General features: G+C 39.3%; 1 long non-coding RNA gene across 3 annotated transcripts in view; it reads left to right on the top strand.

The window, feature by feature from the left end:
- The window catches only part of LOC105374678 (uncharacterized), a 108785-nt gene that overhangs the window by 39609 nt on the left and 50428 nt on the right, over positions 1-18748 (top strand). Inside the window, exon 1 of one of the 3 annotated variants that reach the window (XR_925838.3) lies at positions 6523-7341. The exons of the other annotated variants lie outside the window; for them this stretch is intronic. This is a non-coding gene — a long non-coding RNA (uncharacterized LOC105374678). Of the gene's footprint in view, positions 1-6522; positions 7342-18748 lie in introns of those variants that run through there. 3 annotated transcript variants of the gene reach the window in all.

Below are 18748 nucleotides of genomic sequence, written 5' to 3'. Positions count from 1 at the left end.
TTTGAATAGGAGTAGATTCTCAGGATCCTCGTAAGAAAGGAAGCCACCACCTAATTTTACATTAGGTCAACAATATTAATTTTCATATATTTATCAATTTTAATTAAATCAGTTGATTATAATTGATAAATGTATAACATTTGATACATTTAATAATTAGCTCAAATAGATAAATTTAATTATAACTGTCCTTTATGTTGACTTACACTAACAAAAGTTGAATTTCTAGAACAGCCTTGATACAATGTAAATATAATACTTAAATTAGAGTAGATTGACCCTGTGTTAAGTCAAAGATAAAACTATTTGCCCTTAGTGGGCCCAGAGGATTCTCCCAAAAGAAAATGGAGAACATAAGATGTTCATGGATCAAATATCTCAATACTGTTTTGTAGTTTTTGTGTCAATTCTGCCCAATCAATCTACACATTTATTTTGGACTAATGTAAATGTTGATTGAAAAATTTACATCAAATGCAAAAGGGTCAAAAAAAAAAATGGTAATCTCAGGGGATAAACAGTTATGGCATATTTATCACATTAAATATCAAGCATTTTATAAAGTTATAGTAATAAAAACAGTCTGAAATTGGTGCAATGATGGACAATAAACCAATGGAACAGAATAGACAATACAGAAAAAGAATCTCACACATATGGTCATTTTTATAACAGATTTGCAAATAAGTACAGTTAGGGAGAAGCTGGCTTTTAAAAATAATTAGTGAGCATTCATATACAAAAAATATGTATATTCTTACCTCACGCTATAAACCAAAATGGACGAACGATACATGTAAGTCTGGACCTGGCACAGTGGCTCACGCCTGTAATCCCAGCACTTTGGGAGGCTGAGATGGGTGGATCACCTGAGGTCAAGAGTTCAAGACTAGTCCGGCCAACATGGCGAAACCCGGTCTCTACTAAAAATACAAAAATTAGCCGGGCTTGGTAGTGCCTGCCTGTAATCCCAGCTACATAGGAGGCCGATGAACGAGAATCGTTTGAACCCGGGAGGTGGAGATTGCACTGCGCAGAGATTGCATCACTGCACTCCAGCCTAGCAACAAAGCAAGGCTCTGTCAAAACAAACAAACAAAAAAAACCATGTAAGTCTGAATGCAAAATCTAAAACCATTAAATAAAAAAAAAAATCTTTTTTTCCCTTTTCTTTTATTTTTTTGAGACAGTCTTGCTCTGTTGCCCAGGCTGGAGTGCAGTGGTGCAATCTCTGCTCACTGCAAACTCCATCTCCTGGGTTCAAACGATTCTTGCTCCTCAGCTTCCCAAGTAGCTGGGATTACAGGCAGGTGCCACTATGCCTGGCTAATTTTTGTATTTTTAGTAGAGACCAGGTTTCGCCATGTTGGCCAGGCTAGTCTTGAACTCCTGACCTAATGTGATCCGCCCACCTCAGCCTCCCAAAGTGTTAGGATTACAGACGTGAGCCACAGGGCCCTTCTGAAAAAAAGATTTCTTAAACAGGACACTGAAATCACAGTATAAATTATTAATCCTCTAAGGCAAAAGTTTCCATTGAATCATTAGGTAAGTTGCCACAGGCTACTTACTATCACTGAGAAAAGCAAAACTAATGAAGTGAGCCCCATGACAGCCATGGCTTTTGATCTGTGACAACTTTCTGACTAATGAACTGGGACCTGGAGATCAAGTAGACCAAAGCAGCCCAACAGAAATGACACCTTTTTATTCTATTTTGTTCTAATCATTGGTTTTATATAAAATAATTGTTTTAGCTGTTGGAGAATTGTTTATTTGTTCTTTTATAACACTACTCACAATTATTAATCCCTCTGTGACAACGGATTTTAATTCTGGTCTATAAATTCCTTAAGATCAAGAACCATACTAGGGAGATGGGCATGCCAAGGGCTCCTTTTGAAATACCATGACTACTGAATAGTGCCTGCAGCAACTGATTTCATGCCATGGGAATGATCATATAGTCTTTCCCTGCAACATTAGTTTGTTCCAACCCCATAATCCCTCCATATTACAAAATAACTTGTCTAGGTCATCTAAATGATCTCTTTTGATGAGAGAGGGAAAAGGAAATTAAAATACGTAGGGCATGTTTTAATCGTTTTAATTGAGAAAGGTTAATGCATCTACTCTGGCTCAAAAAATGTTGCTTAAACAAAAAGTGTGAGACAATTCAAATTTTTTAATCAATCTTGGAATGACAACCAAAAATCCCTACAAAACCCTATTAAGAGTCTTTCTCTAAGTAGACAAACATTCATGGTTTCTCAATTGTTTTAAAAGACACATATACTAATACTTTAAAGAGATAAACCTAGTTTTTACACTTCTCAATGTTTAACATTTTTAAAATATATACAGTAAAATATTTAATTTATTTAAAGAATCAATTTTTATGAATCCCGAAGTGCTGAGATTGCAGGTGTAAGACATCTGTAATTGTTGCCTGATTCACAAAGAGTAGCACATGTTTTGAGTTTATTTATTCATGCTATAAATACTTATTTGAAACCATATCACATCAGCTTTCATCATGATTTTATATTCCAAAAATGATCAAACAATCTTCAACTTCTGGGAGATGTTAAGTATTCTCAAAAATCTGATTTAATTTATCCTGTATGTGTAGCTACAACTTAAATATTTTGAAGTTGTGTAAAGAGTACTAATAGGTAAAACCTACACCTGTAGGACATATTTTATCTGTTTTCCATATGGTTGAAATAGCTGGCATAAATATATATTCTGGTTTTGAAGAAATAATAAAATGAGCAATTCGTTCTAGAAATAATCCCAACTTACTATTGCTGAGCAAACACCACGAATTACCTAAGACTTGATTAATTTTTAAAAGTTCACCTTAAAAAATAAAGTTGGTTTGAGTACTTTCTCTATGGCAATTCTGGTGATTTTCACCTGTCCTCATTATTTCACCGCAAAGTCCAAGTCAGAAAATTAAGGACTGCACCACTGAAAATACCCAAGTCAGATACTTTTGAATAAGAAGATGAATGGAAAACTGTCAAGACTCAAAGGGCCATCACAGAGAGGTTGCTGGTTTCTCTTTTAAGTTTTGTGGGCATTTTACATAATAAGTGTACTAAGAATTTCTATGTGGTGCTTAAACATCAATTAGTTAATGATAAATTAGCTCATTTTTTTGTCCTTGCACTTAGTTTAATACAACTAAATTTAAACTTTTTTTTTCATTCTCAACTAAATGCCAGGCTATTAGCTACAGACAGATGGAAAGGGAAATGGGAATTATCCATGTCCAAAATAACTCAATCTCAAGGAAGGTTTTTGAGAAAAAAACATGCCACTGTGTGAGGCACTATCTGTATTTGGTTTCATTTTCCAGACGTTATGGACAGAATGTGCATCCCCTTCAGATTGATATGCTGAAGCCCTAACACTCAGTATCCCAGAACGCAATTCTATTTGCACACATGGCCTTCAAAGGGGGAATTTAGTTAAAATGAGGCTGGTAGAGAAAACCATAAACAAATCTGACTTCAGTCTAAAAGAAAAATAAAAAAAGAAGAAGAAGGAATTTGGCCCAGATGCAGTGACTTACAGTGGTAAACCCAGCTCTTTGTGAGGCTGAGGTGGGAGGATTGCTGGTGGCCAGGAGTTGAAGACTGGGCAACACAGTGAGACTACAGCTCTACAAAAAATTTTAAAAATTAGCGGGTATGGTCGCCTGTGCCTGTAGCCGTAGCTACTCTGGAGGTTGAGGCAGGTGAATCATTCAAGCCCAGGAGTTTAAGGTTGCAGAGAGCTGTGATAATGCCACTCAGCTACAGCCTGGGTGACACAGTGAGACCCTTTTTTTCTTTTTTTTTTGAGACAGAGTCCCGCTCTGTCGCCCAGGTTGCACTGCAGTGGCTCGATCTCAGCTCACTGCAAGCTCTTCCTCTCGGGTTCACACCATTCTCCTGCCTCAGCCTCCCGAGTAGCTGGGACTACAGGTGCCCTCCACCATGCCCGGCTAATTTTTTTGTATTTTTATTAGAGACGGGGTTTCACCGTGTTAGCCAGGATGGCCTCGATCTCCTGACCTCGTGATCCGCCCACCTCAGCCTCCCAAAGTGCTGGGATTACAGGCGTGAGCCACTGCGCCCGGCCATGAGACCCTTTCTTGAAGAGGAAGAAGAAAGAAGACGAAGGAAGAAGAGGAAGAAGAAGGAGAAGGAGAAATGTATACACAAAAAAAACACCTGTAGACATCACATGTAGACATCATATGATTTTACTCAATCATATGTGTACACTGAAGGAAAACCCATGTGAAGAAGCAGGCCAAGGGTGCTTATTTGCAAGCTCAGTAGAATGCCTTAAAAGAAACAAACCTGCTGGCATCTTGATCTTGAACTTCTAGCCCTCAGAACTCAGAAAATAAATTTCTCTTGTTTAAGTCCCCCAGTCTGTGGTATCTTACTATGGCAGACCTACCAAATAGGATTCCAATTGCAACTTATTTATCTAATAAAGAAATTTACTTAACATACATTTCAGAACTTACTTTTCACTGGGGTCTCTACTGCATAAGACCATGAACAAAAAAGACATTGTCTCTGAATGATAAATGCTAACATCTAACCAGAGTGGGAAAAATATTGAATAAATACAGCCATTAGAATGAGTGTGAAAACTTTTTGGTACAATGTATTTTGAGAACAGATTATCAGAAGCCTAAATCAATTTGATCATGGGAGTTTTCCCTTACAGAGTTATTTCAAATTTATTCAATACCTAAAGGTTGCATATCAGCTAGCTAAGCAAAGTGGCAGAGAAGGAGCAACATGTTCCTGGTGGAAGAAAACTAAGAGACGAGAAACCACTGAATCTTTATTAAGGTGGGAGAAGCTGATGCAGCAGACGGAGCAGGAAACTAACTCATGGGTGACACACTCAGAGGAGAGCAGGGGTCAAAACACGAAGGGCCGTGCCAGCCAAGTCACTCCAAAAGACATTCAAAAGTCAGAAAAATGCTTTTCAGCAGAGCAGAGTCCATTTTAGTTTAGTTTTGTTTTGTTTGCCAGTTTTGTAGAGGTAGAATTTACATACCAAGAAATCTCTCTTTAAGGTATTCAGATTGATAAGTTTTCGTGATTTTATTCAATCATGAAACTATCACCAGAATGGAGATACTGAACATAAACGATGCTCCAAGAAATTTCCTCCAGTCCCTTTGTGTTTGAATTTTTCCCCTGTTCCTGCCCGACACAACCACTGATTTTTTTTTTAATTGCTATAGGTTTTTTCCCCTAGAATTTAATATACAGTAATCCCCTCTTATCTGCAGTTTCCGTTTCTGGGGATTCAGTTATCATCAGCCAACTTTGGCCTTAAAATATTAAATGGGAAATGCTAGAAATAAATAATTTATGTATTTTAATTGTGCATTGTTCTGAGTAGACTCATGAAATCTCTCGCCATCCTGCCCTGTTTCTCTCAGGACATGAATTATCCCTTTGTCCAGCATATGTGGTTTATAGATGCTACCGGCCAGTTAGTCACAAAGGAGACTTCTTGGTTATCAGATTGACCATTGCAGTATTTTAGTGTCTGCTTTGAAGGTTCTTTTCAATTATATTTAATAAAGGCCCTAAAGCCCAAGAGGAGTGACGCTGACAATTTGAACCAATATTCTAAAGAGATGCAGTAAAATGTGTCCTTTAAGTGAAACAGTGGAAGTTCTCCATTTAAGGAAAGGAGAAACATCTTGTGCTGAGGTTGCTAAGATCAAAACTACAATGAGATATTTTGGGTGAGAGAGATCACATTCCCCTAACCTCTATTACAATATAATGTTTCAACTGTTCTATTATATTGTTAGTTATTATTGTTAATCTCTTACTATGCCAAATGTATAAATTAAACTTTATCATAGGTATGTATTGTCAACTGAAGAATTGTTCACAAATTTGGAAAGAAGAGTTTTATTTCTCTTAAACATTGCACCCTGCAGGGTAGCCATTCTGACAGACTGGGAAGCATAGCCTCCAGGCAGAAGCTGGAAAAAAGACACTATGAGGGAGGAGCAAAGGGGAAAGGAATTTATGCTGAGCAGGGTGGCTGAATATACATATTTAATAGGCTATAGGAGGAGTCATGAATATTTATGAAAGAGGAAACATGTGCAGGAGCAATGAAGCTTCATGCCTCTTCATAAGCCCCAGGTTCAAAAAATGATTTGAGGATGGAGTTTTTGGCCCTGTAACATTAAAAGGTGAAGCATTAAAAACCCTCACTGTAGCCGGACGCAGTGGCTCATGCCTGTAATTCCAGCACTTTGGGAGGCCCAGGTGGGTGGATCACGAGGTCAAGAGATCGAGACCATCCTGACCAACATGGTGAAACCCCGTCTCTACCAAAAATACAAAAATCATCTGGGTGTGGTGGTGCATACCTGTAGTCCCAGCTACTAGAGAGGCTGAGGCAGGAGAAACGCTTGAACCCGGAAGGCAGAGATTGCAGTGAGCCGAGATTGCACTACTGCACTCCAGCCTGGCAACAGAGCGAGACTCCGTCTCAAAAAAGCAAAACAAAAGAAAACCCTCACTGTGCATCCTCTGCAGACTGGCCAGAACCACTTGAAAGTCAGTGGTCTCTTATCAGAAAGGAATGCTTGTTGATTGTTGTGCAAAAACTACAAAAGGGAGAGACTGTGTCAGGCAGGCAGTTGATATCAATAGTGGATATAGCCTTTCCAAAGGGCTAGTTGGTTTAACTCTTGGGAAAGAAAGCAAAGGAGGAGGTAGAGTGAGGCTCGTCTAACCTCTCCTCCTGTCATGGCAGGGAACTCAGTTTTCAAGGTTTCTTGAGGTGGTCCTCTTGGACAAGAGGGGATCTGTTCACTTGGGGGGCTTAGGATTTCATTTTTAGGTCTCAGTATGTATTAAAAAACCCACAGAGTATATAGAGTTTAGTACTATCTGTGGTTTCAGGCATCCACTGAGAGTCTAGGAATGTATCCCCCTCAGATAAGGAGATACTACTGTAAATATAATCATATAATTTAAGTATATTCTGTTCAATTTCTTTCATATACCATAATGTTTTAAAATATTTAGTTGTTTTTTTGTTAGCCTTATATAGTATATGTATGCTACAATTTGTTCATTTACTAGTTGATAGTTCAAATGTTCTGTATTTTAGTATCAAGAATGATGCTGCTATGAACATTTATGTACAACTCTTTGGATGAATATATGCTATCTTTTCTCTTTGCAAGAGTAGCTCAGAGAACTCAAGAAAACTGTTTACTCACATTAACCCTGTACTGCAAAAGTTACAGATGAAGAGCCAGATGAAAGAGATCCATGAGGCAAGGTATGGAAAAAAGGAAGAAGAGCTTCTATGCCCTCTCTGGGTAGCTGTGCCACTCTCAAGGAACCTCCAATTATTTAGCTATGTAGAAGCTCTCAACTCAGTCCTTCTGGGTTTCTATGGAGGTATTATTATATGAGTTTGATTAATTACATTATGAACCATTGGTGATTAATTCAACCTTCAGCCCCTCTCCCCTCCAAGGAGGCGGGCAGTGGGACTGAAAGTTCCAAACCTCTAATCACAGGGATGGTACTCCCGACAACAAGCTCCTATCCTGAGGCCATGTAGGGACCCTCAGCTACCAGCCATCTCATTAGCATATAAAATACATTAATCTCCACCAAAATGGTTTACTTCAGTTCTATCAGCTCTGTGAAAAACCTAAATGGCTCATAGACACTAACTGTTAACTATTGTGGCTATAATAATTTCAGGCATTTTACCCTCCACATTGTTGGACATGATGAAAGTTGTAGAAAGTTCCAAAGCCTGAAGCGATTACTATTTCCCTGTAGACTTAGTTAATTCTTTCTATATTATTGACCTTGAAAGTAAAGAAAAAGAAAATAATCACTTTTACATAGACAGTGCTGTGATAATCATAACAACCCTCTTATTCAGGGTATCTATATTCTCAAATGTATTGAACTAATATTCTGTAACTAGATTTAAATTTGATTACTGTCAAAATAAAATGGATTAATTATAGTGATGACTTGATGTATTTTTTCTTAGAGAAATAAGCCAAAGAGGAGTTTAAAATGGGGCTGGGTGCAGTGGTAGCTCACGCCTGTAATCCCAGCACTTTGGGAGGCCAAGGTGGGCAGATCATTTGAGGCCAGAAGTTCAAGACCAGCCTGGCCAACATGGCGAAACCCTGTCTCTACTAAAATTATAAAAATTAGTTGGGTGTGGTGGCACGTGCCTGTAATCCCAGCTGGAAGCTGAGGCAGAATGCTTGAACCTGGGAGGTGGAAGCTGAGCCAAGATGGCGCCACTGCACTCCAGCCTGGGCAACAGAGCTAGACTCCATCTCAATAATAATAATCATCATCATAATCATAATCATAATCATATAATAGATAAATAAATAAAATGGGAAAGGCACATATTACTGGCTGAGCATGGTTAACTAATGGGGCTGAAAAAGAGGGCCCTGCCCAACAGTTAAATTTACCAACTGCCTGCTTCTGTATCAGATTCTGCTTTGTTCTCTTGATTAGATCAGATAGAAGTGTACATGAAAAATTATAGAAATTGCTATTCAATACATTAGAATAATGTCTAAAAGAACTAATATTAGTGTGATATAGTAGCTAAAGATCAGTGATTATTTGCCCCTAGAACTCCAGAAAGGACAATTATGGGAAACAATTTTTGCATGTTGAACAAAATGCATCTTGAAACCTCTGAACATGATCCTTTAACAATTGCCTTTGTGCCACATTACTTGAAGTTGCTTATAATTTACTTGAATTTCACCATTACAACAAGTACTCAGCACTTTTGATGACTCAACCAATGCTGGCCTCAATGCAGTAAGGTGTTCTTGTGACCATGGAAAGCAGATTTGATGTAAACTAGAAATGGAAAGGACTTTTCTGGCAACTCACTTTGGGTATAAGAGGGACACTAGAAGTAACTATTTCCAAGGAAACTGGACATACACAGTTGAAAGAGAAAGAAAATCTGATCAAATTAAAGGACAGTAATCAGGTGACCTGGAGGCTCACACTACAAGCACATACAGGCAGGGACATTCTAACTGTAACTGAGTACCCTATTTTAAAGTGTTTTCTTTTTTCCCCTTCCTCCTTTCATGCTTTGTGCTAAATGAGGCAGTAACCTTTACTTTCATTTCCACCAGATACTCTCTTATATTGCTACTTTATGTAATCATATGCTTGCTTAGAGTTCCAGAGCCCTAATCTTGAGATAATACAGGTGCCTATGGAAATCCCCCCCGCCCCAAGAGATTATTTCAAGGCTATGATGAATTTACAACCTGCTCAGGTCCAAGATGGCATTAGCCCATTCATCAGATGGGGCAATAATTCAAGATAAGTAATTGGAATAAGTCACATAGACCTAAACTGCCTTGTCTCTCCTACATGCCCTTCATTTCAAACTCTTTTTTTTTTTTTTGTTCTTGAGACAAGGTCTTGCTCTGTTCCCCAGGCTGCAGTGCAGTGGCAAAATCATAGCTGATTACAGCCTCAAACTCCTGGTGTCCAGTGATTCTCCCGCTCTGTCTCCCAAAGCACTAAGATTAGAGGCGTGAGCCACCATGCCTGGCCCAAACTTGCCTTTTTAAACCCTTGCATTCTGCCCCAAAATTTGAAATTGTTTCTTTAGACAGTAGCCTGGAACACTTCCCCACTGCTAAATTTCGTAAATAAAGTCACTTTTATTCCACCATACTTCATCCTTGTTAGTTATTTTTGCAAATGTTGAGTGGCCAAATCTGAGTTGACTTACATAGCCAGTCTAAAATATCTCCAATATGTGTGGACAAATACTCACCTTATTTACCATGACCGCATGTCAAATTATCAAGTTAGGACATTGGGATTTGCACTACAGAATCTCAAATATCCTGCTATACTATGGCTTTGAATGCTGCATCATTGCCTGTCTTAAATTATTTCTTAAAACTAAGTCAACTTAAAAAACCCTGTGTTATGAGTTTAATTGATCTGAACCCAAACCACTGCTGCAGGTTGAGCAGAGTAGACAGTGGAACTCCAAAGACAGAAACATATTCATCTTCAGTGGATTTAGTGGTACCATATGAAAGAAGATCACTTAGACCACAACTTATGTTTAAGACTTTTTTTTTAATTTAAGCAGAAGCTTTAGAGAAGAGTAATATGTAGACTGACATGTAAAGATCATAAAGATCCATGTGAATGGATTTTAATAAATTAAATTTTCCTGTGTAATCAGCATCCAAATCAATAAATGTAATATTTTCAGCAGATCAGCAGTTGCTTTTGTGCTTCCCAGTCATTACCACCCTTCAATACAACCCTTCTTCTGACAATGAACAAATTGTTTTGCCATAACTCAAACTTCAAAACACTAAATAATGTAAAGCACAACCTTTTGTGGTGGTATTCTTTTTTTTAAGATTATTTTCACCATATTCGGCTATGCTGTCATGTGGAGCAACAATTTTTTAAAGCTGATGGCTATATAATAGTCCATCATATGATGATACCATTATTTATGTTTTTGAAGTATTGTTTTAATGTCTCATCTTAGATTTTCTCAGGAAAAATAATTATTGTGTTTTCATCTCAGTTTTCTAAAGTCCAGAGAATAGAGGTTTTATTGTTGAAGACATTTTCCGAAAGGTTGATGTTTTTGCAACTCTCCTGTGTTAGTTTATTTGCGCATTGCTATAAAGAAATACGTGAGACTGCATAATTATAAAGAAAATTTGTTTAATTGGCACACAGTTCTGCATAGTGTATGGAAAGCACAGCAGCACCTGCTTCTGGGAAGGCCTCAGGAAGCTTCCAATCATGGCAAAAGACAAAATGGGAACAAAATGTCACATTGTAAAAGCAGGAGGAAGAGGGAGAAGCGAGAAGTGTCACACACTTGTAAACGACCAGACCTTCTGAGGACTCATCACCATTGTGAAGACAGTATCAAGAGGATGGTGCTAAATCATTCCTGAGAAATCTACCCCATGATCAGTCACTTCCCACCAGGCCCTACCTCCAATATTGAGCATTACAATACAGCATGAGATTTGCGCAGGAACACATATGCAAACTATATCATCTCCTTGTTATTAGGTTGTTCCTCATACAATGACCCAACTTTTATCTAGGTTATCTTGATTTTAATTGTTCACCTCACAGTGATTTAAAGCCTAACTCCCCATTCTTCACATAACTATAAACGTGTATCATGTGCCCAGTACTGGCATTTGGTCTTCTGGTTCCACCCATCTGTTTTTAGCTCATAGTTGTTTCTGTTGTTGTTTGTAAGCCTTTGGGGAACTCTCTTGCTTTCTGTGAGTTTGCCAAATATTTTAAAATAAAGAGGTTAATATTTTATATAATATCTACTAATTTTGCAACATGAAGATTTTTCATTCTATCTTGACAACAAATTAGAAGCAGAAATCACATCAGCTAGTTAGAGTTGACCATTTCACTTTTATTAACATAAAACTTTATGGAAAGATGCATGGCTATCCTATTTCAGGCATAGAGAATCATAAATAAGTTCTTTAAAAAAATACATCATACACACACACACACACACACACAAATATATACTTATACAGACTCCAGTAATTTATCTTTTTAAGATTTATTTTTATAATAACATAATTACTTTCATAATTATTTTAATAATACTCTCATTTTTATTAAAAAATCTGAAATCCAATCCACTGCCATAATCACTCTACATATTTTTCATGTGGATATCAATGTATATTTTCTTGTTCCGGAAATATTTTGAGAATCCTATGAGTTCTTGCTACATATGGCACATAATATGCAATCATATTACTTTATTCCCATTTCAAACTGAAAGCATAGATAAAACAAACACAATTTTCCAATACAATGAAAATGTTTAATATTCCTTAAGTAAAACCTATTTGCATTTCTTATATGTAAAAAGATACCCCCTTGTTGGGCAGGACAGTCCAACTAGGACCTCCAGACACACCTGCTGGTGTTCTCCTGCCAACAGAGATTTGAAACCCCCTTGAGATGGAGCTCCCAGAGAGATGGGCAGGCTGCCATCTTTGCTGCTTGGGCAACTTAGCTGTTTCAGCGTTCAGGCTTTGGAGGGTTTAAGCCAACCAGAGGTAGAAATGGTACCCCAGCACAGCACACTGCTCTACAAAAATGTGACCAAACTGCTTTTTAAAGTGGGTCTCCAATCTCATTTCTCATCATTGGGTGGGGCCTCACAACTAGGGTCTCCAGCTACCCCCACCAGTGTTCTCCAGCTGACAGAGGTTCAAATCTCCCTGAGATAGAGCTTCCAGAAGAAAGGGTGGGCCACTATCTTTGCTATTTCGGTGACTTCACCTTTCTAGCCTTTGGGGATTGGAGTGTCCAAGATGACTAAGGGCTGAACTGGACCCCCAGCACAGCATAGCTACACTGTGAAACCATGGCCAGTACATTAGTCTGTTTTTACACTGCTATAAAGATACCATCTGAGACTGGGCAATTTATAAACAAATGAGGTTTGATCAACTCACAGTTCCACCTGGCTGGGGAGGCCTCAGGAAACTTATAATCGTGACAGAAAGGGGAGCAGGTACCTTCTTCACAAGGTGGCAGGAGAGAATTCAGGAGGGCAGGGGCAACTGCCATTTATAAAATCATCAGATCTCATGAGAACTCACTCACTGTTATGAGAACAGCATGGGGGAACTGACCCCATGATCCAATTATTTCCCTCCCTCGACATATGGGGATTACCATTTAAGACGAGATTTGGGTGGGGACACAGAACCAAGCCATTTTATATCCCCTCGCCCCTCCCAAATTTCGTATACTTTATACATTTCAAAATCAATCATTCTTTCCCAACAGTACCCGAAAGTCTTAACTTATTCCAGCATTAACTCAAAAGTCCGAGTCCAAAGTCTCATCTGAGACAAGGCAAGTCCCTTCCACCTATGATCCTGTAAAATCAAAGCAAGCTAGTTACTTCCTAGATACAATGGGGGTAAAGGCATTGGGTAAATACACCCATTTCAAGTTGGAGAAGTTGGCCAAAATGAAGAGGCTACAGGCCCCATGCAATCTGAAATCCAATAGGGCAGTCATTAAACCTTAAAGTTTCAAAATGATCTTCTTTGACTCAATATCTCACATACAGGTCATGATGATGTAAGAGGTGGGCTCCCATGGCCTTGGGCAGCTCTATCCCTGTGGATGTGCAAGGTATATTTCCTCTCTGATCTGCTTACACAGGCTGGTGTTGAGTGTCTGTGGCTTTTCCAGGTACATGGTGCAAAGAGTCAGTGGATCTACCATTCTGGTGTCTAGAGGATGATGAAAATCTTCTCATGGCTCCACTAGGCCATGCCCCGGTAGGAATTATGTAGGGGCTCTGATCCCATGTTTCTCTTCCGCATCACCCTAGCAGAGGTTCTCCATGAGGGCTCTGCCCCTGTTGCAGATTTCTGTCTGGACATCCAGGCATTTCCATACATTCTCTGAAATCCAGGCAGAGTTTCCCAAACCTCAGTTTTTGACTCCTGCACAACTGGAGTCCCCACCCCAGGTGGAAGCCATCAAAGCCTGGGGCTTGTACCCTCTGAAGCAATGGCCTGAGCTGTACTTTGGTCCCTTTTAGCCATAGCCGGAGCTGGGGCAGCTGGGATGCAGAGCACCAAGTCCAGACACTGTACACAGCAGTGGGGCCTGAGCCCAGCCCGTTAAACCAGTTTTTCCTCCTAGGCCTCCAGGCCTGTGATAGGAGTGGCTGCGACCAAGGTCTCTGACATGCCATGGAGACATTTTCCTCATTGTCTTGGTGATTAACATTGTCTTGGTTACTTATGCAAATTTCTGTAGCTGGCTTAAATTTCTCCCCAGAAAATTGGTTTTTCTTCTCTACCACATGGTCAGGCTGCAAATTTTCCACTATTTTATGCTTGTCACCTCTTGAACACTTTACTGCTTAGAAATTTATTCTGCTAGATACCCTAAATTATCTCTCTCAAGTTCAAAGTTCCACAGATCTCTAGGGCAGGGGCAAAATGCTGCCAGTCTCTATGCCAAAGCATAGCAACAGTGACCTTTGCTCCAGTTCCTAATAAGTTTCTTATCTTCATCTGAAACCACCTCAACTTAGACATCATTGTCCATGTCACTATCAGCATTTTGGTCGAAACCATTGAGCAAGTCTCTAGGAAGTTTCAAACTTTCCCACATCTTCTTGTCTCCTTCTGAGCCCTCCAAACTTCTCCAACCTCTGCCTTTACCCAGTTCTAAAGTTGCTTCCACATTTTCAGGTTATCTTTATAGCAGTACCCTACTCTACTTGTTCCAATTTACTGTATTAGTCCATTTCACACTGCTATAAAGATACCATCTGAGACTGAGTAACTTATAAACAAAGGAGGTTTGATGGACTCACAGTTCCGCCTGGCTGGGGAGGACTCAGGGAACTTATAATCATGGCAAAAGGGGAAGCAGGCACCTTCTTCACAAGGTAGCAGGAGAGAATTGAGGAAGGCAGGGAAAACTGCCATTTATAAAACCATCAAATCTCGTGAGAACTCACTATGAAAATAACAGCAAAGGGGAAAGTGCCCCTATGCTCCAATCACTTTCCTTACTTAACATGTAGTGATTATAGGACCCTCCCTCAATATGTGGGGATTACAATTTAAAATGAGATTTGGGTGGGGACACAGAGTCAAACTATATCACTGCTTTTGTCAGTGGGTCTGATCCCGTTCCTTCTCACTGGGCAGGACCTCCCAGCTGGGTTCTCCAGCCACCTCCTACAGGTGGGGTTGGGCCAGCAACAATTCTCTATATCCCTTGGATGGAGCTCCCAGAGGGAGTGACGAGCTGCCATATTTGCTGTTTCTTAACCTTCACTGGTGATACCTCCAGGTACTAGAAAATCCGAGGTGACTAGGGACCGCAGTGGGCCGCCAGCAAACTACAGCAGCCCTATGGAAAAGTGGTTAGGCTGTTACATTGGTGCTCATTTCCCTATCTCCTCACTTGACAGGTCCTCTAGGCCTGGGCCTTCTGCCACCCTTCACCAGAGATATCAAACTAGTAGCAACTTGTCAACTCCTTGGGCAGAGCCTCCAAGGGCAACTGAAAGCCTCTTTGCTACTGTCTCTGCAGTGGAACTGCCCTGGTTACACTTGGACTAATAAGGGATCAGAGATCCTAAGTGCCTTATCCACACTTCCAACAACCTGCAGTCAACCTAGGGAGAGGAGGCCAGTCCATCTCACATGTTTCCAACACCCCCAACTGCTCATCATCAGACATGAAACTTCTGGCTTGTGTCCACAGTACAAATCCTCCATGCTTTGCTGATTGCATTGAACAATTGCTGACCTGCACCTCTCTGGGGTGGAGTTCTCAGGAGAAAAGCAAAAGACTCTGGGCCACAATCACTACTAAGTTCCTTTCCTCTGCTGCCTCCAAACTGGGGAAGAAACATAAACACTGAGATTACCCCAGAGCTGCAGTGGGCAGCCCAGAAATACCAGGCTGTGATCTACAGCCAGCACTCAAGGGGTAGAGAAACTCACACATTCAGAGCATTGGGAGGGAACATGGCTGCAACTGTGAGGAAAAATAGGGGAGCCACATAACTGAGTATGAGTCCACCAATTGACCACTAAACCTAAATGACACCTACTGGATCACACACCAGAGCTTCAACATCAAAATACTTTACCAATATGTTCCCCCTTTGAAACCATAGATAAGAAGTCAGTTTCAAATAAAGACCCTGCACAAAGCTTCAGGCCAGTGAAAATACGCAGAGGAAAAGTCCATAGACTGTACTCAATCTACAGTGCAGTTAATGGAAAACACACACACAGATACAAGAAAGAATCAATGCACAAACTCTGGTAACGCAAATGGCCAGAATATCGTATGTCCTTCAAATGACTGCACCAGTTCTCCAACAAGAGTTCTTCACCAGGTTGAGCTGGCTGAAATGACAGAAATAGATTTCAGAATATTAGTAGGAAAAAGATCATTGAGATTCAGGAGAAGAGCAAAACCCAACCCAAGGAAATGAGGATCACAATAAAGCAGTACAGGAGCTGAAGGAGGAAATAGCTGGTATAAAACAAAAACAAAAACCTAACAGGTCTGACAGAGCTGAATAACACAATACAAGAATTTCACAATGCAATCACAAATATTAACAACAGAATAAACCAAGCTGAGGAAAGAATCTCAGAACTTGAAATTGGCTTTCTGAAATAAGACAGTAAGAAAAAAATAAAGAAAAAGGAATGAACACAACCTCTGAGAAATATGGGATTATGTAAACAGGCCAAATCTGTGTATCATTGGCATCTGTGAAAGAGAAGGGGAGAAAGCAAACAAGTTGAAAAACATCTCAGGAGATCATCCATGAAAACTTCCCCATTCTTGCTAGAGAGGCTAACGTCAAATTCTAGAAATATAGAGAGCTCTTGCAAGATTCTACACAGCAAGAACATCCCCAAGACACACAATCATCTGAATTTCCAAGTTCAAAATGAAAAAAGAAATGTTAAAGGCAGCTAGAGAGAAAGGGCAGGTCACCTACAAAGGGAACAGCAGAACTTTCAGCTGAAATCCTAGAAGCCAGAAGAGATTTAGGGCCTATGTTAAACATTCTTAAAGAAAAAACATCCTCAATCACCAATTTCATAACCAGCTAATCTAAGTGAGAAGAAATATTTTTTTTTCAGGTAAGCAAATGTTGAGGGAATTTGTTAACCACCAGACCGGCCTTACGAGAGATCTTGAAAAGGGCGCTAAATGTAGAAAGACTGCTACCAGCTAATACAAAAACACAGTTAAAAATACAGACCAATGTCGCTACAAAGCAACCACACAAACAAGCCAACAAGATAACTAGCTAACAATACAATACAGGAACAAATCCACTCAAATAAACATTAACTTAATGTAATTGGGCTAAATGCCCCACTTAAAAGGCACAGAGTGGCAAGCTGAATAAAAAAGCAATACCCAATGATACGCTGTCTTTAAGAGATCCATCCCACATAGAGTGACACCCATGCACTCAAGATAAAGGGATGGAAGCAAATGGAAAACAGAAAAAAAGCAGGGACTGCAATCCTAATTTCAGACAAGACAGGCTTCAAACCAACAAAGATAAAAAAAAAAAAAGACAAATAAGGGGATTACATAATGGTAAAGGGTTCAAATAATCAGGAAGATCCAACTGTCCTAAATATATATGCACCCAACACAGAACACCCAGCTTCATAAAGCAAGTTCTTAGAGACTTACAAAGAGACTTAGACTCCCACACAATAATAGTGGGAGACTGCAACAGTCCACTAACAGTAGCAGACAGATAATCAAGGCAGAAAATTAGTAAAGATATTCAGGACCTGAATTCAACATTGAACCAAGTGGATCTGGTGGACCTCTATAAAACTTACCACCCCAAAACAAGAGAGTATACTTTTTTCTCATTGCCACATGGCATATACTCTAAAATTAACCACGTAATTTGACATAAAACAATTCTCAGCTAATGCAAAATAATCAAAATCATACCAAACACACTTTTGGAACATGGCACAATAAAAATGGAAGTCAAGACTATGAAAATTGCTCAAAATCATGCAATTACATGGACATTAAAAACCTGCTCCTGAGTGACATTTGGGTAAATAATGAAATTAAGGCAGAAATAAAGAAGTTCTTTGAAACTAATGAGAACAAACATACAACATACCAGAATTTCTGGGACACAGTTAAGCAGTGCTAAGAGGGAAATTCATAGCACTAAATGCACACAACAAAAAGTTAGAAAGATCTCAAATTAACAACCTAATATCACAACTGAAAGAATTAATGAAGCACGAACAAATCAACCCCAAAGCTAGCAGAAGTCAAGAAATAACCAAAATCAGAGCTGAACTTCAGGAAATTAAGACATGAAAAACCATTCAAATGATCAACAAATCCAGGAGTTGTTTTTTGAAAAAATTAATAAGATATATAGCCCCCTTGGTACATTAAAAAAAAGAAAAGAGAGAAGAACCAAATAAATAAAACCAGAAATGATGAAGGGAATGTTACCACTGATCACACAGAAATAAATTTAACCATCAGAGACTACTATGAACATGTCTATGCACTTAAACTAGAAAACCTAGAAAAGATGGATAAATCCCTGGACACATACGCCCTCCCAAAACTGAAGCAGGAAGAAACTGATTTCCTGAACAGACCAATAATGAACTCCAAAGCTGAATCAGTAATAAGTAGCCTACCAACCAAAAAAAGCCCGGGACTTGATGGATTCACAGCCAAATTCTACCAGATGTACAAATAGCTGGTTCCATTCCTACAGAAACTATTCCAAAGAATCGGCATCATCCTGATACCAAAATCTGGCAGAGACACAACAAATAGAACTTCAGGACAATATCCTTGCTGAACATAGATGCATATATCCTCAACAGAATACTTGCAAACTGAACCCTGTAGCATATCAAAAAGCTAGTCCACCACGATTAAGTAGGCTCCATCCTCAGGATGCAAGGTTGATTGAACACATGCAAATCAATACGTGTGATTCATCGCATAAGCAGAACTAAAGACAAAAACCACATAGATTGTCTCAATAGATGCAGAAAAAGTTTTGGATAAAATGCAACACCCTTTCATGTTAAAAA

The sequence above is a fragment of the Homo sapiens genome, chromosome 5 (genome assembly GCF_000001405.40).
Source record: "Homo sapiens chromosome 5, GRCh38.p14 Primary Assembly".
Classification (NCBI taxonomy): Eukaryota; Metazoa; Chordata; class Mammalia; order Primates; family Hominidae; genus Homo; species Homo sapiens.
This window is presented reverse-complemented; position numbering and strand designations above follow the sequence as displayed.